Source organism: Homo sapiens, chromosome 10 (assembly GCF_000001405.40).
Source record: "Homo sapiens chromosome 10, GRCh38.p14 Primary Assembly".
Taxonomy (NCBI): domain Eukaryota; kingdom Metazoa; phylum Chordata; class Mammalia; order Primates; family Hominidae; genus Homo; species Homo sapiens.
This window is the reverse complement of record NC_000010.11, coordinates 23,044,477-23,068,541: the sequence shown is the minus strand read 5'-3', so window position 1 is coordinate 23,068,541 and position 24,065 is coordinate 23,044,477. Positions and strand designations below refer to the sequence as shown.

Below are 24,065 nucleotides of genomic sequence, written 5' to 3'. Positions count from 1 at the left end.
CCTTCTTATAAAAAATGTTTTGGAAAGTAAGGGATCAGAGAAGGTTTCTACAGTTTTGGTGCATTATTAGGCCAGGTCCTTGTTTCAGTCTCCACTTAGCCTAACTAAAGACACCTTCCGCTCTGTAAAAAAGGTTATCGTTATGGATCCTGTGGGAATTGGTGGCATGAAGGGACCACTAGGGGGCGCCCAACGCCTCAGAATAGTCCACCTTTAAGTCTCTAGGCCTGGTCCTGGAGGCTCTTGACTCCAGGCTTCCCTAAGGTTCCTGGAAGGCCTTCATGTGTTATTACTGGTTGGACAGAGAAGAGCACTGCCAGCCCCAGATGGGAGTGAGAAGGCCGGTCGGGGAGAAGGTAAGCAATTGAGAAGGCGGAAGGGGCAAAAGGAAACTGGAGAGGGCGGCAGGAAGAGAGAAAAGGAAGAGAGCAGAGGCGTGGAGAAGAGGAAAAGAGGAGGGCGGGGAAAGGGGAGGCTGCGTTTTGCAGGACTGGGCAGCTCCAGAGACAGTGGAACACCGGTGTCTTTTTGGACCCTATGGTACATAGGGGGACAGGGAAGGAGCCCGGTTTGGGCTTAACTGGGGGATGCTGGGAGTCTCTCTGGTCCAGGAGGTCTTAGGCATCTGTGTGCCTGAGGCTATCTGGGTCTCCCCAGTGTCTCCCCACACACCTGTGCCAACTTGCCCACTTCATACTTTTCCTGTTGCCTTCGATTCACAACTCGCCTTGCTCACGTCCTTCTAGAAAAAAACGGTACGTGTTGATGTCACTACCTCCCCGTGGAAGCAGGAGGGGAGGGTGGAGAAAGTGGATTTGGTCATCACTTCCGGCCCTTTAGAATCACACTGCCGGTCAGGCGTAGTGGCTCACGCCTGTAATTCCAACAGTTTGGGAGGCCGAGGTGGGAGGATTGCTTGAGCCCAGGAGTTTGAGACCAGCCTGGACGATATAGTGAGACCCCCATCTCTACAAAAAAAACTTCGAAAAAACTAGCCAGGCGAGGTGGCACGCACCTGTACTCCCAGGTACTAGGGAAGCTGAGGCAGGGAGATTGCTTGAGCCTGGGAGGTCGAGGCTGCAGTGAGCCGTGGTTGTGCCGCTGCACTAAAGCCTGGGCAACAGAGCAAGACCTCAACTCTAAAGAAAAGAAAAAAGAATCACACTTTATTATTAATTATTTTGAACCATGAGATAATAAAAAAGGAAGGACCTTTTTCCCACTTAAAAATGTTTCAGACTAATAATAATTGCTAACATTTACTGGGCTCTTACTGTGTTCTAATAATAGGTGTCAGCATTTAGAAATCTAATGTCATTTAAGGCACGCAGCAACCTGGTGCTATTGTCATCCCTATTGACAGAAGCGAAATGGTTCACCCAAAGCCACACTGCCAGCAAACAGCGAGGCTAAAATGAGGGACCCAGACAGTCTGACTTCAGAGACTGCACTTAAGTTACTTAACAGAAATTAATGTCAGTTAAGTGACAGAACTAGAACTTGAATGTAGATCCTCTGTCTCCAAATCCTATTGAATCCTCTATATCACTGTTCTTAAATTTTTTGGTCTCAGACCCCTTTATTCTCTAAATATTGAAGATTCTAAAGAATATCATTTCTGCAGTTTTTGTGTGTTGCTATTTACAGCACTATAAATTAAAGCAAAGTAATTTAAATATTTATTAATTCATTTGAAACAATAATAATAAACCCACTCCATGTAAACATAAACAACATCTTTATGAAAACATTGTCGGCCAGGCACAGTGACTCACGCCTATAATCCCGGCATTTTGGGAGGCCTAGGTGGGTGGATCACGAGGTCAGGAGTTCCAGACCAGCCTGGCTAACACGGTGAAACCCTGTCTCTACTAAAAATACAAAATTTAGCCGGGCATGGTGGCGGGCGCCTGTAATCCCAGCTACTCGGCAGGCTGAGGCAGGAGAATCGCATGAACCGGGGAGACGGAGGTTGCAGTGAGCCGAGATCACACCACCGCACACTAGCCTGGGCGACAGAGCAAGACTCTATCTCAAAAAAAAAAAAAAAAAAGAAAAAGATAAAGAAAACATTAACAAGAGAAAAAATGTTTTCATTTTCTGCTACATGTCAGTGTAATAATATTTGATACAGAAAACTTAATATAGAAAGGCACAAAGATAAAAACAAAATCACCTGAAATGCCACCACCTAAGAGGGAACGTCTGTGAATTTTGTTTTATATATTGTCCCAGCTTCCTGGGAAGATTATGAATTCCAGACATCGTGCCTTCCAGACACTGAAATAGTAACCTTAAATTGTGGCAATTTAAAAGTGCCTGTAAAATCATCGTAGGAAATCTTAAGGCTGCACCAGGACCTGAAGAGGGTCTCGGTGACCCTCGGCCACATATTTCTAGACATCACTGGAGAGCACAGAGCTCAGAGCCCATTCTAGTTTATTAATAGTATAAAGCATACACCAAAGGCAAATGATCTAGCTACATAAATTTTGTTTCCTGCCCCAGGAGCCAAAGCTAAGCCCTTCACTGCTTTATGCTAAATGTGCATTAAATTGCAGAGGGCAATTGGTGTTTCTCAGCGCTCCAAGTTTGCACCTGCCTGTTTGATACCAGGAGAGGGTGTGGCCATTTCCTCTTGAACTTTGGGTTAGAGAGAGCTGGGTATGAGGGGTGGGGTTCAGGGAAGGTGAGCGAAAGCCCACTCAGGGGTCATCAGCTGCCTGGTGGTAATTCCTGGCCAATCATTTCTCATTCTGTATCTCCCTGCGGCAGAACAGCTCTGAGCCTCCCAGGACACCACGTGATGCCTGCGTTTCATTCCATGCCAAGTTCCACATGCCAGAGAGCTGTCGTAGAACTTTGGCAGGGAGAAGTGTCTGGGCCAGTGGCCTGTGGCAGTTACTGCTCCTGGCTCTCACATCCTTTGTAGAGTTTGTAGGGAATCTAGAACTTACTGTGTCCCCTAGAGAGGGGGTCACCAGACTGACAGAAGCCTGGGGTTAGAACAGAGAAACCGGAGAGCACACAGAATTTATGGACAGAGGCAAATGGCTGGGACTATGATACCAACATCGTATTTCCTTCCTCCTTGAAGGAAGGCCAGATGCCAGCAGTTCTCTCTCACTGGTCTCTTCGTGGGGCCTGGTAGTCTACAGACCCCTAGTCACCAGATGCCATCTTGGGGAGAAATTGGGTAGGAGGCCATGCAGGGAAGGAGGAAGTCTGCCACGTCAGTTATTTATCTGAAAGAGATTATCCAGAAAGAAATAGCAACTGATAAGCAGCAAGCCGAAATTTTTCCTTTCCTTTGCTGGATATGGTGGTGAATACTCAAGAAATTTCAACCAGACCGGGCATGGTGGCTCACACTTGCAATCCCAGCACTTTGGGAGGCTGAGGCAGGTGGATCACTTGAGGTCAGGAGTTCAAGACCAGCCTACGCAACATGGTGAAACCCCGTCTCTACTAAAAAACAAACAAACAAAAACAAAAACAAAAAATTAGCCAGATGTGGTGGTGTGCACCTGTAATCCCAGCTACTCAGGAGGCTGAGGTAGGAGAATTGCTTGAACCTGGGAGGCAGAGGTTGCAGTGAGCAAGATTGCACCACTGCACTCCAGCCTGTGTGACACAGCAAGATCCTACCCCCCCAAAAAAAGTTCCACCCAATTCCAGAGAATGGTTTGTTCTTTCTTAGAAACTCATTTCTTTTAATGTTGTTTTCTCTACATGGTGACAAATGCAAGGTTTTAGTTTACAAAGACAGCATAACGTGTCCTACCCCATCTAAGACCTCACCATACAAACACCTGCTCTCTGCAACCAGTGGAAAGATCTTCCTTCAGCTGTTGGCTGTCAGCAACTTTTTGCAGACTGGTTGAAGTTGGACAGGAATGGTAGTTAGGGCCCGTGTGGTATTATCCATATGCCATATAATCAAAATTATGTTTTCACGCAGGCAGAACAAAAGCAGGATTCCAAGTAGGTCTCAGATCAGTTCCAGATCCTCATGCCAATGTCTTATATCCAGTTCCCCAGCCTCGTTTTACATTTCAGCAAAAGACTGTCTTGCAAACGCAGCGGCGCTTATATGGCCAGTGTCATCTGAGAATGCAGTGGGGTGATTTGTGGTGGGAGAGCTGTGTTAACCGGGCCCGAACTGCTATCCAATATCCCAAACATAAACCTCTTCCTGCGCGGTTGAGAAAGAAGCCAAGGCTTTTGGAAAGTTCACCTTTCATGTGCTGAAGCCTTCCAATTTCTTGGTTGCAGCTGGACATGCTCTCAGAGCAGATCAGACACTCTGGGAAAGAAAAGGGGTACCCCATTGTCCAGCCCGGATCGGGGTAGCGACAGCAGAACCTTCCAGGGACAGCCCACCTGTCTCGCCTGGCCCCGGGGCTCGGCTGAGGATGGCAGGATCCCTGGACTGATTAGCTTCTCCAGAAATAGCTTCATCCAAGAAAACGACCTTTCATCCAACAAAATGACCTTTCGACTTCTATATATTTTATCCTCCCAGCCAAGCATCCTCTCATGAGTATTTATTAAACACCTACCATGCGGCAGACATTGTGCTTGGACACACTTGCCAATTGTTTCCTCGGAACTTGTTTTCCAGGCAAAAGGAGGTGTTGATGGATTAGCTATAAGCCTTAGCTCTCTCCGAAGCGTTTCTTGACTTACGATTGGGTCTTGTAGGAAAATGCTTCATTTTAGTGACTCTTAAACCGATGCCCAGTGTTTATTTCTGATGGACAGAGATCGTGTGATTCGTGCCAGATAAAGATGGGAGCTGAGGGGATTTGCGAGAATTGTAGGTTCTACTTTTGATGTTTTTCCGCAGTAGGTGGGAAGGAGGAGTCTCCCCAAATGAGAAAGAAGTAAGACAGGAGGGGGTCCTGCAGCCTTTGCTTCCTGGGAGGCGCTTGGATGACTCACAGCAGGGAGTACGGAGCAGCCGCTGGCCGCCGCAGCCCTGGTTACTGCTGCAAATTTATCTCCCCAACTACGGCCTCTCCATCTGTTCTAATTACAAATGCAAAAAATAGCTAATTTGCAATGGCATCATAAAGAGGAAAATCTAAGTGATTTAAGAGCTGCTCTGTGTTACGTGGAGCGTGTTTTACACACTCCAGTCAGAGAGAAACTGCTTGCTCCCTGTGTTGAGAGAGTCCCCTCTTCTTGGCCAGTTTCTGATTTGCCCTGACTGTGGGAGAATTATTATAAAAAGTCACAAAGGGCAAGGAGCTGGTCCTGAGAATGGGACACACCCTACTCTGCTTCTGACAAAAGAGGCGGTCACTGTAGTTACAACTCAAGGCCAATAATCTGCCTTGATCTCTAGATTATTTCAACTTCTTGGCAAAATATGTAATGTGGACACAGTACCATGAGTCTAACTATAATACAAGTTATTTTCTTTTTTAGCCAGGCACGGTGACTCACACCTGTAATCCCAGTGCTTTGAGAGGCCGAGGGGTGGGGATTATGTGGGGCCAGGAGTTCAAAAACAGCCTGGGTAACATAGGAAGACCCCATCTCCACAAAATTTTTTTTTAATTAGCCAGGCATCGGCCAGGCACGGCGGCTCACACCTGTAAACTCAGCACTTTGGGAGGCCAAAGTGGGCAGGTCACTTGAGGTCAGGAGTTTGAGACCAGTCTGACCAACATGGTGAAACCCTATCTCTAATAAAAATACACACACAAAAAAAAACTAGCTGGGTGTTGTGGCGGGTGCCTGTAATCCCAGCCACTTGGGAGGCTCAGGCAGGGGAATTGCATGAACCCGGGAGGCAGAGGTTGCAGTGAGCTGAGATCGTGCCACTGCACTCCAGCCTGGGTGACAGAGTGAGGCTCCATCTCAAAAAAAAAAAAAAAAAAAAAAAAAAAAAAATTTAGCCAGGCATGATGGCACGTGCCTGTAATCCCAGTTATTCCAGAGACTGAGGTGGGAGGTGAGAGTGAGAGGATCACTTGAGCCCAGGAATTGGAAGTTGCAGTGAGCTATGATGGCACCACTGCTCTCCAGCCTGAGCGACACAGTGAGACTCTGTCTCTAAAAAAAATGAAATAACAGTTATTTTCTCTTCAATTGTGCCAGTGATGAAATGATAAGAATGACGGTGTTCAGGACATCCTACCCCAAAAAGCGGCACCTTGGCATACTGAATATTTATTTTTTCTTTCTTTTCTTTCTTTCTTTCTTTTTTTTTTTTCTGAGATAGAGTCTTGCTCTGTTGCGCAGGCTGGAGTGCAATGGCGCAATCTTGGCTCACTGTAACCTCCACCTCCTGGGCTCAAGCGAGTCTTCCTGCCTCAGCCTCCCGAGTAGCTGGGATTACAGGCAAGTGCCACCGTGCCCAGGTAATTTTTGTATTTTAGTAGAGACGGGGTTTCACCACGTTGCCCAGGCTGGTCTTGAACTCCTGACCTCAGGTGATCCACCCGCCTTGGCCTCCCAAAGTGCTGGGATTACAAGCGTGAGCCACCACACCTGGCTGGCATACTGAATATTTTAAGCTGAAGGAACTTGAGTAAACAGCAGAAGCAGGAAGGTCCCCCTGGCCTTTCCCTCCCCTTCTTGCCTGAAGCAGGGCATAAGATCCTCATGTGACAGCTGCCCTTCCTATACCCGGAGGAAAGGGACATCCTTATCTCTGAAGACACAGCATCACAGGGAAGAATCTGAACAGGCTGGCTAGGTTTCCCCCAGTTTATTACTATTAGATCATTCTCTTTTTGCCCGATCCCATTTTTCCACAAGTGTCCACACTTCATCAAATCTGCCATAAAAACACACAGCTTTAGCTGTTTCTGATGGGGTCTGCATTTCCTTTTGAAGACTCCCTTGTCATGTAAAACTTAAATAGATTTATATGTTTTCTCTTGCAAATCTGTGTTTTGTTACAGGGACCTCAGCCACATACTTAGTATGGTAGAGGAAAAAGATATGTTTCTCTCCTACAATGGTTTATCATGAATTATCTTAGTAAGGGGATGTACAAAGGTCTGTGCACATGCAAAGTCATAGATGTGAACTTTCTTTTCTTCCTCTCCTCCTCCTCCCTTTCTCCTAGCTTTCCTCCTATGCCTTCTGTCTCTAACTGCAGAAGACCTTATCAATCACTGTAGCAGCAGCAGCATGGTGCAGAGGAAAGAGTGATTTGGAGTCAGGGCTGCCTCTAGATTTCTGTTGTGCTTTGCCACTCTGTGGTTATGTAAAAACAGAGCAGGTGACACCCTCCCTGAGCCTCAATTATCTTAGGTGTGGGTGGGATCGAGCAGCACCTGTCCTCCCTCCCTGACCCAACCTTTCAGTTCATAGGTGAGAAAACAAGGCCCAGAGAGGCACCTGGCTTGGTCTCATGGCTAAGATCCTGCAGGGCTAAGATGAGATCCTGGCCCTTGCATTTAACCCCTGCAGTCACAGCGACCCAGGAGGTGTTAGACACACTCTTGGGATCCAGGACTGTACTGGCTGCTGGAGGAGAGTGGAGGAGAGGTGTGGGGTGGGGAGGGCACAAGCTCTGGTGTAAGCCACAGAACAAGAAGACACTTTCTCTGCTGTTGAGAAGCAGGTTGGTCCTCTTCACTCCTCCCTCAGGAGTAATTGAACTGCTTGCCAGGTTCATCTTGCCCACTGCCAAGATAGAGCGAATTGATCAAGACAGAGGAATTGCAATAGAGAAAGAATTTAATACACATAGAGCCAGCTGAACAAGAGACCAGAGTCTCTTATTATTACTGAAATCAGCCTCCCCAAAACTTTGGAAGCCAGGGTCTTTTGAAGACACTTTGGTGGGCAGGGTGCCAGGGAATGGGGAACACTGATGGGTTGGTTTGGGGATGAAATCATAAGGAGCTGAAGCTGTCCCCTTGCACTGAGTCAGTTCCCCTGGGTTTGGACCCCAAGACCAGATGAGCCAGTTTACTGGGCTAGTTGGCACCCGCTGATCCATTGGAATTCAGGTTCTGAAGAATACCTCAAACACCAATCTTACCATTACAATAGTAATGGTATCCATAGAAATAATTGGAGAGATTTGTAATCTTGTGACTTCCAGCTGTGATGTGGTTTGGATATTTGTCCCCTCTGAATCTCATGTTGAAATGTGATTCCCAATGTTGGAGGTGGGGCCTGATGGGAGGTGATTGGATCATGGGGGTGGATCACTCATGAATGGGATCCCTTTGGTGATAAGTGAGTTCTCGCTCTGAGTTCACTCAAAATCTGGTTGTTTGAAAGTTCGTGGTGCTACCCCCCCCCGTCTCCCCTGCTCCTGCCATATGATATACCTGCTCCCCTTTTACCTTCCGCCATGATTCTAAGTTTCCTGAGCCCTCACCAGAAGCAGATGCTGGAGCTGTGCTGCTACAGCCTGCAGAACCATGAGCCAATTACACCTCTTTTCTTTATAAATTACCCAGCCTCCAGTATTTCTTTATAGCAATGCAAGAATGGCTTAACACAGGCTGCATGACTTCTGGGCCATAACTTCTAATCTTGTGGCTAATTTGTTGGTTTTACAAAGGTGGTCTGGTTACCAAGTAAGGAGGGGGTTTGTTTGGGGAGGGGCTGTTATCATCTTTGTTGCAAAGTTAAACTAAAAACTAAATTCCTCCCAAAGTTAGTTCTGCCTATGCCCAGGAACAAACAAGGGCAGCTCAGAGATTAGAAGCAAGATAGAGTTGGTTAGGTCAGATTTATTTTACTGTCATGATTTTCCTATGTCAAATTTTCCTCACTGTCATAACTTTTGCAACGGTGGTTTCAGTAGGAAAATAACTTCCTTGGGAGTGCTGAGACCTGTATTCTGAATCAGCATTGCCGGGAGTTTATAAAAAAGACCTGGGGCAAATCACTTTGCTCCACTGGGCCTCAGTTTTTCCCTCGCTGTAAAATAAGGTTGAACAAAATGGACTCTAGGAATCCGTCAAGCCCTAAAACTCTATTATAGTATTATTGAACCTAATTGTAGCACAAGCCTTTGTTTCATTAACTGTAGATTTGAAACCCTCATTTGCTCTAGGAATCCTTTGGTTGCTGTAAGAATATTATGACTTGTTATTTCTACCTTTAGTGATGGTATCTATGCAATAGGGAAGATAATAAAAATTCTTTCTGGAAAAATAAAAAATAAAAAGTAAATGGGTCACTCATATAAGTGAACTCTGAATAAGCTGTAAGTAGACTATTTGAAGCAGAGAGAAGAATCTATTTTCTAGGATACTATAATCCCTTTTAAGTGAATTCTTAGTGTGATTATCAGATGATAAGTTCTTCAGAGTTGTTTTGCAAATAAATGATGAAAGAGGGGAGGGGGTGTAGTGAGAGGGTAAGTTCCACTGGTTGATGAGACACAATCCTCAGATTGGTCTCTCACCCATATTTGCAGGAGAGCTTGTTCAGAAATCTGAGATTACATGATACAGGATGAAACTACATCAGAGTCAACCACCTAGACTAGGCTAACCTTTATAAAAACAGCCTCCATCACATAATGTTTAACATGTAAAGATAAGTGCTAGAATTTTCTTCCCTTGCTCACTGTTCTGGCACTTAGCATAAGAAAAATGTCTTCATAACCCCGCGTACTGTTCACTTGTGTTCAACACATGCTCAGGAAACACTACAGATCACATTGTCTATGCTGCAAGCTTCCATACCTGCCCTGTTTCTGCTCCAACTGCATGCACACTTAGGATTCTGTTCCAGAAGCTCAGTGATACCGTCTAGAGCAGTTCAAACAGGAGAACAACTTTTCTTCTATTTTTAATTTAAAGATTAACATAAGTTTTATTTCTATTTTTAATTAAAGATTTGAGAGTTCAAACGGTTTTTAAAAAGGTTTTGAACTTAGAGGAGAGCAAATCAGGTGTCTGTTATTACTTGCTCTGTGGCCTCAGGAATTTTGCACTATGGGCTGGGGTGGGGCTGGTTTGGATATGCCTCGCAGTTGCATTGGACCTGTTGTCCAAGAGTTTCTGGTTAATACAGAAACGCAGTCCTGAGGTGCACAGAATCACTGGGACAGGTGTGTCAGAGAACATTCAGAATAGAAGAAAGGTTGGCAAACATAGACAAAGGAATCAGAGCCTTAAACACCATCTTTCAAAGTCTAGGAAACTGGGAGCAAAATTTCCACTTTTGTTTGGCATATTCTCAGGGTTTTGGAACTTTTCAGAAGCAATACAGAAAAAAAAATGACAAAACAAAAGAAACAGCATTTTCTTTAAAAGGGAAAAAGGAAAAAACTGTTGGCCACTCATTGTCATATCTAGAGAATGGAGAAAATTAAGAAAACCAAAGGGCTTTTTACTTTTCATTTATATGCATGAGTAAAACCTTAGTTTTATCTTGTTGCTTTTAGTGGAAGAAAGACATTTTCAAATTGTATTCACGGATTGATTTTTTGGAATAGATGTAGCTTCTTTAGATTTCATCAGAAAAGAATTCTTTTCTATTATAACTATTTGAAAACAGTATATTTTTAGCCATTAAACAGAACTTTTGGAGCTGTGACCAAGTAGTTTTTGGAGCAGTCCATGAGTTTGGGTGTTTGTGTGGATGGAGTTCAGAACACACTGCTCCATATACGATACGCTGACATTTGAGGAAACAGCAGAAGCAGGAAGGTCTCTTTCACCTCCTTCTCACCCTTCTCCCCTGAAACAGGTAATAAGACCTTCATCTGAGAAGTTCCCACTCTATACCTGTCTTTATCTCTGCAGACACAGGGACACAGAGAACACTCTGAACAAACAGGTCTTGCTAACTTTGTAACCACAGGACCAGCCCAAATTGTGCCTAGTCTGTTGATAACAAAATGTCAAGTTACTTTGTAGGTAAAGCAGGGCCGAAAATGGCAAGCCATGTACTTTTTAGGTAAAACAGGGCCAAAAATTGCAGGCGTGCACAATAGACAAAGCTTTGACCTCTAACAACACCTGGAACCAATGATTCCTTCCCTTAGAACCAAAAAGACCAGGGCATGACCCAAACCTGAATGCTGTAACTCTTTCAGAAGATCTGGGGCAAAAATCTGTCTCGACATCCCTGTGATGGTTAACATAGAGTGTCAACTTGATTGGATTGAAGGATGCAAAGTATTGTTCCTGAGTATGTCTGTGAGGGTGTTGCCAAAGATTAACATTTGAGTCAGTGAACTGGGAAAGGCAGACCCACTCTCAATCTTAGAGGGCACCATCTAATCAGCTGCCAGCGTGGCTAGGATAAAAGCAGGCAGAGGAGCGTGGAAGGACTTGAGTTGCTGAGTCTTCCAGCCTTCAGCTTTCTCCTGTGCTCAGTGCTTCCTGCCCTCGAAGATCAGACTCCAAGTTCTTCAACTTTTGGACTCTCGACTCACACCAGTAGTTTGCCAGCAGCCCTCGGGCCTTTGGCCACAGACTGAAGGCTGCACTGTTGGCATCCCTACTTTTGAGGTTTTGGAACTCAGGCTGGCTTCCTTGCTCCTCAGCTTGCAGATGGCCTATTGTGGGACTTCACCTTATAACCATGTGAGTCAATACTCCTTAATAAATGCCCCTTCATATATACATGTATCCTGTTAGCTCTGTCCCTCTAGAGAGCCCTGACTAATACAATACCTTTTCATAAATGGTCAAACTTGAAGCCCTCCAATCAGACCCTGCCAAGCCAACATTCCTAAATCCTTTCCCATTCTCTCTGATCCCTTAAAACTTGCCCCCAGATCCCACATCTCAGAGACAGATTTGAGCCAGTCTGGCTGATTTTGTAAAAAAGCCTTTCTTTTCTACAAAGCTGGTGCCATAGTTATTGACTTCTGTGCACATTGGACAGCGAGCCCATTTTCTTGATCACAACTTTCCCCACAGTTTATGATAGTTAGATCATTCCCCCTTTTTCCAATCATACTTCACAACTATCTACTGAGTTTTTCATCAGATTTAGCATAAAAATAACAGGCTTCGCTGTGTCTTCAGGTTTTCATTTCCTTATGAAGGCTCCCATGCTACTTAAAACTAACATTAAATAAAGTTGTACACGTTTCTCTTGTTAATCTGTTCTTTGTTATAGGGGCCTCCGCCATGACTCCAGCCATGGGAAAGAAAGCTGTTTTTTTTCCCTACAGTATTTTATTGTACTCAGGCACAGAGACTTCAGAACCTGAGTGAAAAGGCCTCCCCTTAAGCTGTAAATGACACAGTATAAAATAAGTTGTTTGCTTTTGACACAGAAATCCAGTCAGAGCAACTCCAAGAGCAAGTTCTCCGGTTAATCTGACATGACTAATTCAACTAAAGTGGATTTTAAAAAATGACTTTAAAAGTAGACTGCATCCCAATTGCTTCCATCTAAACCACCCTCATTTCCTGTTCCTCTGCATTTTCTATTCCTGCTCTCTCCCCTCCTAGAATTCTGACCTAGCGTTTCCATAACACCCCGTGAACTGGAGGAGCTTTCTGGGTAATTAGCATGCAAATGCGCATTTCAATGCGCAATCATCGACAAGCCTTCAACTCTCCTGCTGAGGGATTGATTTTGTTAGAGGGCTGCAGAAGGTGTGTTTTTCATTTAGACATGCTTGTGTGGCTGTGAACACAAAGGGTAAATTCCATCTAGGCAGTAATTGATAAGGAACCATACGTGAAATGAGATATATTGCCATAGCAAAAAAAAAAAAAAAAAAAAAAAAACAAAAACCTGTGCTCTCTATTGGTCTGTTAGGTGCTGGCTGAAAAACGAGGATATCTCAAGGAATATTAATTTTGAGCAATTCTTTCTTTCATGTATTTAAAATACTGTTGTAAAGAAATTTATTTTAAAAAGTTTCAGATTACCTGCAAAATGGCTGTATTAGAAGTTTATTAGATCATACAAACTCAATGTATTATATCTAAATGTGACTCCCTTAAAAATGAGAGAATAGAGCCTTTGTTCCTTCCTCTTTTTCTCTTTTACTGGAGAGAGGTTAGTAAAGGTTTACTCTGGTGACATTTGGAAATGACACTGGGCTTGCCATTTTCTTTGGTAAACAGTTCTGCTTGGAGTGCCTAAAATATGTATCCTTAAGACCAGATTTCCCTGGCTTTCAGATGAGTTTTTAAAATGTGGTTTTTTGATGGGAAAATATTGTTCCTGTCCGTGTTGATATTTCATGGCTGGGATGACACTTTTTGTTGTATCTGAATGAGACTGGGCAGGGGGGATTCTGCAGCTCAGTTGTCAGGGGAGCTAGAAGCTTTTGGAGCCATCTTTTGGCAAGAAGGTGGTTGCCTGAAATTTGAGCTCTCTGCCTTTTCAACAAGGAGAGCTCAATTGACCCATGGGATGGAGGAGGTAGGGAGGGGAGCTTTGAGGATGAAAATGCACCCCTTCTTAGCATCCAGAACTGTCAGAGGCCTGTGAACCAGAGCAACTCCTTCTTGAATAGGAGCTGGGTAAAATGAGGCTGAGACCTACTGAGCTGCATTCCGAGATGGTTAAGGCATTCTAAGTCACAGGGTGAGACAGGAGGTTGGCACAAGATACAGGCCATAAAGACCTTACTGATAAAACAGGTTGCAGTAAAGAAACCGGCTAAAACCCACCAAAACCAAGATGGTTACGAGAGTGACCTCTAGCAGTCCTCACTGCTACACTCCCACCAGCGCCATGACGGTTTACAATTGCCATGGCAATGTCAGGAAGTTACCCTACATGGTCTAAAAAGGGGAGGTATAAATAATCCACCCCTCGTTTAGCATATAATCAATAAACAACCATACAAGTGGGCAACCAGCAGCCCTTGGGGCTGCTCTGTCTATGGAGTAGCCATTCTTTTGTTCCTTTACTTTCCTAATAAACTTGCTTTCACGTTACTCTGTGGACTCACCCTGAATTCTTTCTTGCTTGAGATCCAAGAACCCTCTCTTGGGGTCTGGATCTGGACCCCCTTCCTGTAACAGAACTATGGGTACATCTCTTTTCTTTTTGTTTTTTTTAAGCCTATAAGGGGACAAAATGTTAACAGTATTTCGTTACCTCTGGTCATGGGACTATGAGTGATCGTTAGTTGCTTCTTTAAATACTTGTCTACATTTGACTCTACAATGAGGCTGTATTACTGCGATAGTCCTAAAGTGTCAATTATTGTTAAAGCTCTCCATTCTGAAGAAGGTCGAGAGGTATCAGGCATGGAGCTAGCTGGTTGTCAGCAGGAGTGAGCCCCATTTTAGCTGGAACCTCATCCTGAGCTGCCCAACCCTGTACGGGCAGCCACCTGCCTTCTGCAGAGTTGTACTGGCCAGAGCATGGTGCATCTGGGGGTGTCTCCTCCCCACAAAGGAAACTTCCATTCTCCGCAAGGTGTCAGAAGAGCTGCCTCTGCTCCCCATGTTCACCTGGCAGGGCTGCAGTGCATTCCTTACAGCTGCTCTTGACTGTGGGACCAGCTTCCAGAACCTTGATTTATGAAACTATTTGGTGTCAGGTGATTTCTCATCAATATCCTATCACCCAACTTTTCATGGTTTGTGGCTGCTATTCCACAAAGCTCAGGCCTTTGAGAAAGCACCAGTGACTCAAAGCACAGGAGAAAGAAGAAGGTCCAAAATGCAACTCCCCAGTTTGGTTCTTACTGCTCAGCTTTCCTTTGAACAAATGACAACACTAGGGACCTGGGAATGGTAGCTGCTGAGGATAGTGTGACTTCTGAGCACAGGGGTGTCCCCAGCCCCTCTCCCATCATGCCTTTCCTCAATAAATGCCTGTGTTCTATACTCCAGACAGGAACACAATCTGCATATTCAGTAGGCCATTAAGTTTAAAAAAAAAAAAAAAGGTCCTGATGAATAGACTGGAAACAAATAGATCAAAACACGTACTCTGTGGTTGATAGAAAAATATTTTTCTTTCTTGCTGTATCTTCCATATTGTCCATAATAAGCAAGTATCTATTAAACAAAATATACATTCTATTTGTTCACCCATACATGAATTCCACAATGAAAGAGTCAGTCATTTGGCTTCAAGTTTTTTATGCTTTCATGATGCAGATTCTCCTAGAAGGTCTTTTACAGTCATGTGGTGGAGTTCATCCTTCTAGAATGAAGGTTTTGGAATTGAGGGACCCCAGAGAGCAGGCTCTGATAAGCCTGAGGAGGTGTGTGGCAGGAGGATGCAGGGGACTGGGAGAAAAGGCTGGAAGGTGAGTTGGAAAATCAGCTTTGCCCATCACAGGGTTTGCCAGGGGTGGAACCTTGTGACTCAGCACATTTTGAATCTTAAGTTCAAACTTGAAGAGCAGCCTTCCTTCTACACACCCTCCCCACTCAGCAATACTGGAATTCCTAGAAAGCCCAGCTGTTGCCTGGAGCACTCAAGATCAGGAAACAATGGCTCTTCTGAGCCCCTCCCTCACCCTTGAATTTCCAGGGCTCTAGTCTTGAGCTCTGCTCTTTCTCTCTGGGAGAAAGGGAAGCGGGAGTCTCTGGATGTTTCACAACAGAAAGTCCCACTCCTGCCACTGAGTGATTAAATATGATTTTTCTTTTAAGAAAAAAGAAGCCTTTTATCATACTCCTAGGGCTGTCAGAAACCATTTGGGCAGATTTTCCTACTCTTGTTTTTACATGCAAAAATGGGAGGTGGATGGGAGGGGAAAAAAATCTTTCTCTTCTAACCATTTTATGTTCATTGGATGAGGCCCTGAACATTAGGCTGTCAAAAGATAGATTAACAAGAGGAAGTCATATTAATTTACTTAATCTGAGTTTTATAAGACACGGGAAGCTTCATGAGAAAATGAAGACTCAAAGAAATGGTTAAACCTGAGTGTTTTTATGCTTGATTTGGTGAAGAGTGGAAAGTCGTGGAAAAATGGGATAGGGCAAAGGTGTATGAACAAAAGTAGCCAACTGGAGGAAACTTGGCAAGACCTGTTCATTCAAATTCTTCTCAGCATCCCTCTGTCTTCAGAAATAAGGATTCTGCTTTCCTCTGGATAGAGGTGTTACCAGAAAGGGATCCTGATCCAGACCCCAAAAGAGGTTTCTTGGATCTCACGCAAGAAAGAATTCGGGGCAAGTCCACACAGTAAAGTGAAAGCGACTTAATTAAGAAAGTAAAGAAAACAAATGGCTACTCCTTAGAAGACCAGCCCTGAGGGCTGCTAGTTGGTTATTTTTATGATTATTTCCTCATTTGATGTTAAACAAGGGGTGGATTATTCATGAGTTTTCTGGGAAAGAGGTGGGGAGTTCCTGTAACTGAGAATTCCTCTTCTTTTTGGACCATATAGCGTAACTTCTGGACATTGCCATGGCATTTGTAAACACTCAAGGCACTGGTGGGAGTGTCTTTTAGCATGCTAATATATTATAAGTAGTATATAATGAGCAGTGAAAGTGACCAGGGGTTTATTTTGTCGCCATCTTGTTTATGTTGGGTTTGGCCGGCTTCTTAACCACATCCTATTTTATCAGCAGGGACTTTGTGACCTGTATCTTGTGTTGACCTCCTGTCTCCTCCTGTGACTAAGAATACCTAAACTCCTGGGAATGCAGCCCAGTAGGTCTCAGCCTCATATTACCCAGCCCCTATTCAAGAGGAGTCGCTCTGGTTCAAATGTCTCTAACAGAGGGAGAGCACATGAAGGTCTCATGACCTGCTTCAAGGGAAGGCGAGAGAGACCTGTCTGCTTCTGCCACTTTCTCAAATTCCTTTGGCTTAAAATATTCAATATTCTAAGGTGCCATGTTTTGGAGTAGCACTTTCTGAACCCCATCAGAGGACATACCTGTCCTCATCTTGGCTCACTCTTACAAAGCACAGCAAGAACAAGAGAGGAGAATTTTCAATTTGCTCAGGAAAATGTCACCAAACCAAACTTGGGTTCACCTACCCAGCGCAGCAAAGTCAAACACTGACATCGGGATTTGCAGCAAGAGAAAGTGAGGCATTTATTGCAGGGCACCAAGCAAGGAGAGTTGGCAGCTCATACTTAAGACCCAAACTCTCAGATGGTCTACAGGTAAGGGTTTTCAAAGGCAGAAAGGCAGAGGTTACAGGCAAAGTCATAAATTCATACATGGAGGCTATACATTGGTTTGACCTAAAAGGCAGGACACCTGAGCAGAGGGGACACAGGCCATAGGTGGATTCAAAGATTTTTCTGATTTGCAACTGGTTAAAGAGGTGATGTTTTGTCTAAACATTTGGGATCAACAGAAAAGAATGTTAGCTCTGGCTTGTGGAAGTGACCTCCTCCCGGCCCCTCAGGAAGAAATTTAGAACAAAGAACTATAGTCAGAATGCAGTCCTTAATTCCCCCCTTATCTAAGGTCTACATGCCAGTGGAGAGTTTTATTTATTTGTTTGTTTGTTTGTTTTTTGAGACAGAGTCTCGCTCTGTCACCCAGGCTGGAGTTCACCCAGGCTGGAGTTCGGTGGCGCCATCTCGGCTCAGTGCAACCTCTGCCTCCCAGGTTCAAGTGATTCTCATGACTCAGCCTCCGAAGTCGCTGGGATTGCAGGCATGCGCCACCACACGTGGCTAATTTTTGTATTTTTAGTAGAGACGGGGTTTCACCATGTTGGCCAGGCTGCTCTCAAACTCCTAGCCTCAGGTGATCTGCCCACCTCGGCCTCCCAAAGTGCTGGGATTACAAGCGTGAGCCACTGCACCAGGCCTAATGAAGGGTATTTTTCATTTAGTAGGATCTGGGTCTCTGAAAAACAGCTCAGGGACATATGTTAAGATCTTTAGTTTCTATAGGGAACCCAGCATTTTGTGACTCTCACTTCCTTGGTTATTCTTTTAAGTTACTATTATCTTCTTGTTTATCAAGTTGCTCATTTACTTCTCAGGGGTCACTTAGGGACCTGGAATTTTCCCTTGAAGGAACTCAAGCTTTTCGTTTATTTCCTGCTTGCTTCCCAGCATGCCCCTAAGAGGGCTCCTTGCTCCCTCTCAAAAGCGGTTTGATCGACTGTTCTCTTTACTTCCAGTGGAGCCCTAGCTAAAAGGAGGGAGGCTATGAATTGTTTCTATTTTTTTCCACAAGTTACCAAATAATTCTTTTAGCTTTTAAAAATTAATTTTATTTTCTAATTAATAACTATAAGCTGTGTATACATTCAGGGTGCATGTGGTAATTTAATATAGTCATATAATTTGTAAAGATCAAATCAGTGTACTTGGGATATCCATCACCTTAAATATTTGTCTTTTCTTTATGCTGAAACCTTTGAATTATTCTCTCGTAGCTACTTTGAAATGCACAACAGATTATTGTAAATCATACCCTACTGATGTATCAAACACTAGCTCTTATTTCTTCTATCAAATTATATATTTGTACTCCTTTATTTTTATGTCTGAAAATCTGGGTCCCAGTGTTACCGATCACAGATTCTTAGGCTCTCATGCAGTGGAAATTGACAGGAGGCTGAGAAACTTTCCCATACAAGCTTTATTGGGGCTTATGTTCAAGCACAAGGCAGACAGTGTAGGAGCAAGAATTCTCCAGCTGGCTCCTGGAGGGTAGGTCTTTGCAGTGTTTTAAGGAGGGTGATATGAAGATCATGAGGTATGTGAGCATCATTACATGTGCAAGATAGAGCAAGGGGGTGCAGGTGCAGGGAGAAATCATGTTAGTACATACATTGCCTGATCAAAAAATGGCACATCAGCCCCTCCTGAGGTGGGGATTTTAGTAGTATAACAAGGCAAAGAGTCAGGATCACTTATTCTCCTGGTCCTGCGTGCATGCAGGTGATTGAGGTTACCTCTCTTGGGTAAGTTGTATGGTAGAATGCTGCTTATCTTAGTTTTCTCACATAGTTTGCAAGGCCTCGTTGTCAGCAGGTATATATGAAAGAAATGCATTAGTGGGGTTGGTGCCACGTTCCTTCCCTGCTCTATCCAAGTGGGGAATGGCATGGATGGGCTGAGAATGGATGATACTCATTGGGGGCAACCTCTGTGTCAGGAACCGTTTCCACTGCTTTATGTTCATTCATCCACTTACTTCTCAAACAACCATATGAGGAGGGAGCTGTCGTCATTGCCGTTTTCCAGGCAAAGAAACTGAGGGCCAGGGAGTGACTTGTCCGAGGCCACTCATTTAGTAGCAGAGCTAGGATCTGAACTGGGTTGTTCTCGGCTGGCGTGTCAGCTGAAAACCACTGCACAGCCTGCCCCCAACCATGGTGCTTGTGGAGGGTCTTTTCTGATTTTGCTCACATCTATGTGTAGCAGGTTTTTTTAAAGTTTATTTTAAGTATCTTTCCGGGTGTCATGCTAATTATAATGTACTAACAATTTACATCTGTAATTATGTACGAGTCTAGGGAGTGAGTGATTCTGTAGCTTGGAAAGAGACGATTCAGTTATTATTCCTTGTGAAAACCAAGGAATAGCTATAGTCTAATAGCTATTGCCAAGTCCCAAGAATAGCTATAGCGTACCACCGGGTACTGGTGCCCACCATCATTTAATATCTTCAAGGCCCAAGGATTTTAGTGCTTATTCCAGTGGCATAAGAACATAAAGGCAAGAAGGTGGGACAACCAACTCAAGTGTGTCCCCAAAACTTTTCATTTCATTGTTTCACAAACAGCAAAACTGGAGTGACAAAACCTTCAAGCTGATGGCATCTTGCAGCCAAGTCATTTAGTACAACATGGGTCTCAAATTTTCTTTTCTTTCTTTCTTTTTTTTTGAGATGGAGCTTTGCCCTTGTAGCCCAGGCTGGAGTACGGTGGCATGATCTCAGCTCACTGCAATCTCCGCCTCCCGGGTTCAAGTGATTCTCCTGTCTCAGCCTCCCAAGTAGCTGGGACTACAGGCATGCGCCACCACGCCCAGCTAATTTTTTGTCTTTTTAGTAGAGTTGGGTTCCACCATGTTGGTCAGGCTGGTCTTGAACTCCTGACCTCAGATGATCCGCCTGCCTCGGCCTCCCAAAGTGCTGGGATTACAGGCGTGAGCCACTGTGCCTGACCGGGTCTCAAATTTTCTAGACAATTTATTTCATGTATTTTTAATTGTCTTTTTTGCGAGATAGGGCCTTATTCTGGTACTCAGGCTGAGTGCTGTGGCATGCTCATGGCTCACTGCAGCCCTGACTTCCTGGGCTCAAGCAATTCCCCTGCCTCAGGCTCCGAGTAGCTGGGACTTACAGGCATGCACCATCACACCTGGCTAATATTTTTAAAAAAATCATTTGTAGAGAAGGTGTCTCACTGTTTTGCCCATACTGGTCTCAAATTCCTGGACTCAAGATATCCTCCCACCTCTGCTCCCAAAGTGCTGGGATTATAGGCATAAGCCACTGCACCTGGCTAATTGTCATATATATATATATATATATATATATATATATATATATATATATGTACACCCATTAACAATGGCTCCAATTTTGTTTTAAAGAACAATCCCATATTTAAGGTTAAGTGTAGATATTGAGAACTTAATCTGAGCAGAGATTTCCAAGTACACTTGACCTGGGGGAATAATTTGGAGCTGAAAGGGCCCAGAATATGCTATTGTGGCATATAAATTATTTTGAGCAGAGGCATTTGAGTTCCTGAAATCTGTCTAAAAGTAGAGCCTCCCAAGATAACTCAAAAGAATTCAATTATCTTAAATTCTCTTCCTGGAAGCAAACAGAGAAGACTGACTCATCACCAGAGGCTGGAAGTCAGCACCACACCTACACAGCCGTTGTGACCAAACGATCATATCTCCTAAGGGCCTATATATCTTTCCAAAAAGTCATTTGTTTTCCCTAAGTGCCCTTTTCTCCCTCCTCTTCCCCAGTTAAGACAGTATAGAAGCCACGAATTCTAACCATCTCTTTGAGTGACACTTTTCTGCGAACTCCCATAAGTACGTGATTAAGTCTGTCTTTTGCTAATCTGTTTTCTGTTAGTTTAATTCACAGGCCCCCAACTACAGAATCTAAAAGGTTAGAGGAAACGTTTCCTCTCTGTCAGAACACCTGCTATGATCCATTCTGACCTTCTCTCTGGCAGTTCCTAGCTCTTATCTGAGCTCTACAGGCTTTTGTATCCCTTCTGCATGGTGTCTTTGAGAGACGTCAACTGCACATGAAAACTAACAGAACATGCCTGTGGTGGACCTACTCTCTATGCATTCTCTCCCATGTTTCTGACTCTGAGGGCTCTGAAACTCAACCAGTGACAGGCTGAGGGCAAGAACTGGCTTCTCTCCTGCAATGATTTACTTTAAAGCTGTGGACTGTGATTCCCGGGGGGAAGCCATTCCCCTGCTCTCACCCCGCCTGCATTTTGGGGCCTTTGAAGAGTGGAAACTTAGCAGTTTACAACTATGCCAAAAACTTGATGGTGAGACTAAAGCTAAGGCTAAAAGAAATCAGATGGTTGATATTAAGAGATTTACCAAGACTTTTCTCATTTCTTGATTTCCTTTCTGGGGATTTCATATTAGTGAGTACATTCTCTGAATGTAATGGTTTAGCAGCATCAGACACAGTAAACTTGAGTCTCAGGACATTTATTTTGTAAGAAACATGTTTGAAAAGGGGCATTTTAATTATCCTGTAAGTGTTTTTAACTCAGCAGTAATGTTTACATAGCTAGTAATCATGGCTCTCAGGCATGGTGAGAGTTTTACTGTTGTTAAGTTTTGTGATGCTCTTTAAAGCCGGCTAGTATAGGTTTCATATTGTTACTTCTGAGTGGGACTCTGAAGTCTGTTGCTGGCGATTCATTGCTCTCTTTTTATTATTTATTCTATTATTATCTTATTTAGTTAAGGAAAATAATAACTGCATAAAGAAAATCTCCTCATTCAACAGTTAATTTTTCTTTTCATTCTAATCCTCAAAGGAGCAAATAATTGCATACAAGAAAAATAAGCTAAGCTTTCTATCCTGTAAGAGTCTATGCAACTAGCGTATTTATCGCTCTCTCTTATTTGTATTAATAAAATGAGACTTTTAATAAAACAATTTTCTGGAAAGCTAAATAAATGAAATCACAGAGCTAGAAAATTGTGTATGCAGATAATGACTATCAATGAGTTAGCAGATAAATGACTTGATAATACAGATATAAATGCATTCATCTAGGCTTTTCAAAGTTTTTCTAAAAGTAAAGACTGTAGAATCAAAAGGACAGCTAGACACAAACTCATATTTTTCAAAGAAAGGAACCTATAAATAAACTAATTGGACTATCACTCGATTTGTATGTCAGATATCTGAGTACTTACAGAGGCCGCTGTTTGCTTCAGCTGTTCTCATCAGTATTATTAACGACTACTTAAAAGTGCTTGATTCCATTTGTATGCCAGCTGTTCTTGTGTAAAACAAACTGGGACTTTCTCAAGATTCAGAGCCTGACTGTCTGCAGCATTTGGGGGCTGATACCTTTGAGCTGGAAAAGGAAATTAATGACTCTTAGCTCATCACTCTGAGGTCAGACCCAGACGTTTGTGACTGAAATATACCTAAAGCAGATGCTGCTCACTGGGGACTTGTCAAAATGGGAGCCTGCTCCTTTCCAAGTTCTGGTGGAAAGAAAGATCTTACCCTATATGGAGCCTTATACATTGTTAGCAGGTTAACAAGAGCCCAAGTCATCTTAACTACACAAACAACCATACTTTAAAAGGTGATAAGGCGAGGTGGGATGGCTCACACCTGTAATCCCAGCACTTTGGGAGGCTAAGGCGAGTGGATCACCTGAGGTCAGGAGTTCGAGACCAGCCTGGCCAACATGGCGAAACCCCGTCTCTACTAAATATACAAAAATTAGCCCAGCATGGTGGTGGATGCCTGTAGTCCCAGCTACTTGGAAGGCTGAGGCAGGAGGATCACTTGAGCCCGGGAGGCAGAGGTTGCAGTGAGCCAGGATTGTGCCACTGCACTCCATGCTGGGTGACAGAGCGAGATTCTGTCTCAAAAACGAAACAAGAAAAGGTAATAAGTATGCCAGTATGCAAGGGGAGGCATTCAAAGTCACAGGCAAGCTCTGTCCGCCAAGCAGCAATACTGAGTCATATAACCATAGGAAGTAATGCTGTATCCTCTCTTAATGAAACACTCACACACAGGTAGCAAAGGTGTTGGTGATGGGGAGTGATTTCAGACATTAGCTCCAAAGACAGAATTTCTGCATTTTGACATTCTATTCTACAAATTCAAAAGTAAAGGTGTGATGCTGGGCACTGTGACACACGCCTGTAATCCCAGCACTTTGGGAGGCTGAGGCGGGTGGATCACTTGCGGTCAGGAGTTCAAGACCAGCCTGGCAATATGGTGAAACCCCGTCTCTACTAAGAATACAAAAATTAGCTGGGTGGTGGTGGTGTACGCCTGTAATTCCAGCTACTCGGGAGGCTGAGGCAGGAGAATTGCTTGAGCCTGGGAGTTGGAGGTAGCAGTGGGCCAAGACGGCGCCAGTGCATTCCAGTCTGGGCAACAGGGTGAGATCCTGTCTCAAAAAAAAAAAAAAAAAGTAACCGTGTGGTCATCATATTTGTTACACTGAAAGGCCAAAGGAAATCAGTACCTAATCAGAAATGGGAGTGATTTTCTTTACCACCCAACTACTTTCAAAAATATCCAAAAGAAAATAAAAATGAATTCCAATTCCATTTTAGTCTTTAAGATCAGTTAGTTTAAGGCATTCAGATAGTCAACAAATATTATTCAAGTTATCCGTTTGCAAGGAGCTCTTGAGAGTAAGGTGTATGCCCAACATAGAATTCCTTTCCATCTCTTCAGGAGAGATCAAAGCATAATAGCTAATAGTTGTCAAATGCTTACAATTGTTAAAGCAAAATAAAAATGGAGGCCACAGTTTAGGTATACCCAAAGCCCAGCTGCCCGTAGCTGTGTAAACAAAACTTAAGTCATCCTGATTTTCCCAAACCTTTCACCATAAAGGTAAACATAACACAAATGTAAGCTTTTTGTCTTTATCAGACTGATTCAGTGAAATTAAACCAATAACCTATCAATAAATCAGCTTAAACAGTTTGGTTTGCCTTAATAAAGACTATATGACAGCCAATTATGAAAAAGACCAAAATCCTTCCT

The 24,065-nt window shown here is 43.7% G+C and overlaps 1 long non-coding RNA gene across 1 annotated transcript in view, besides 3 other annotated features; it reads left to right on the top strand.

Moving 5' to 3' along the window:
* The window catches only part of LOC107984215 (uncharacterized), a 99,856-nt gene that overhangs the window by 26,738 nt on the left and 49,053 nt on the right, over positions 1–24,065 (top strand). The window lies entirely within an intron of this gene.
* Positions 88–382: an enhancer, noted in NCBI's record as "tiled region #11378; K562 Activating DNase unmatched - State 4:PromP". NCBI's record gives its function as "activates a minimal TATA promoter and a strong SV40 promoter by Sharpr-MPRA in K562 cells {active_cell/tissue: K562}" and the evidence as "EXISTENCE:reporter gene assay evidence [ECO:0000049][PMID:27701403]".
* Positions 12,226–12,765: an enhancer, noted in NCBI's record as "NANOG hESC enhancer chr10:23344706-23345245 (GRCh37/hg19 assembly coordinates)". NCBI's record gives its function as "activates a minimal SCP1, AML or CMV promoter by ChIP-STARR-seq in naive H9 embryonic stem cells {active_cell/tissue: H9 hESC(naive)}" and the evidence as "EXISTENCE:reporter gene assay evidence [ECO:0000049][PMID:30033119]".
* Positions 15,893–16,393: an enhancer, noted in NCBI's record as "H3K27ac hESC enhancer chr10:23341078-23341578 (GRCh37/hg19 assembly coordinates)". NCBI's record gives its function as "activates a minimal SCP1, AML or CMV promoter by ChIP-STARR-seq in naive H9 embryonic stem cells {active_cell/tissue: H9 hESC(naive)}" and the evidence as "EXISTENCE:reporter gene assay evidence [ECO:0000049][PMID:30033119]".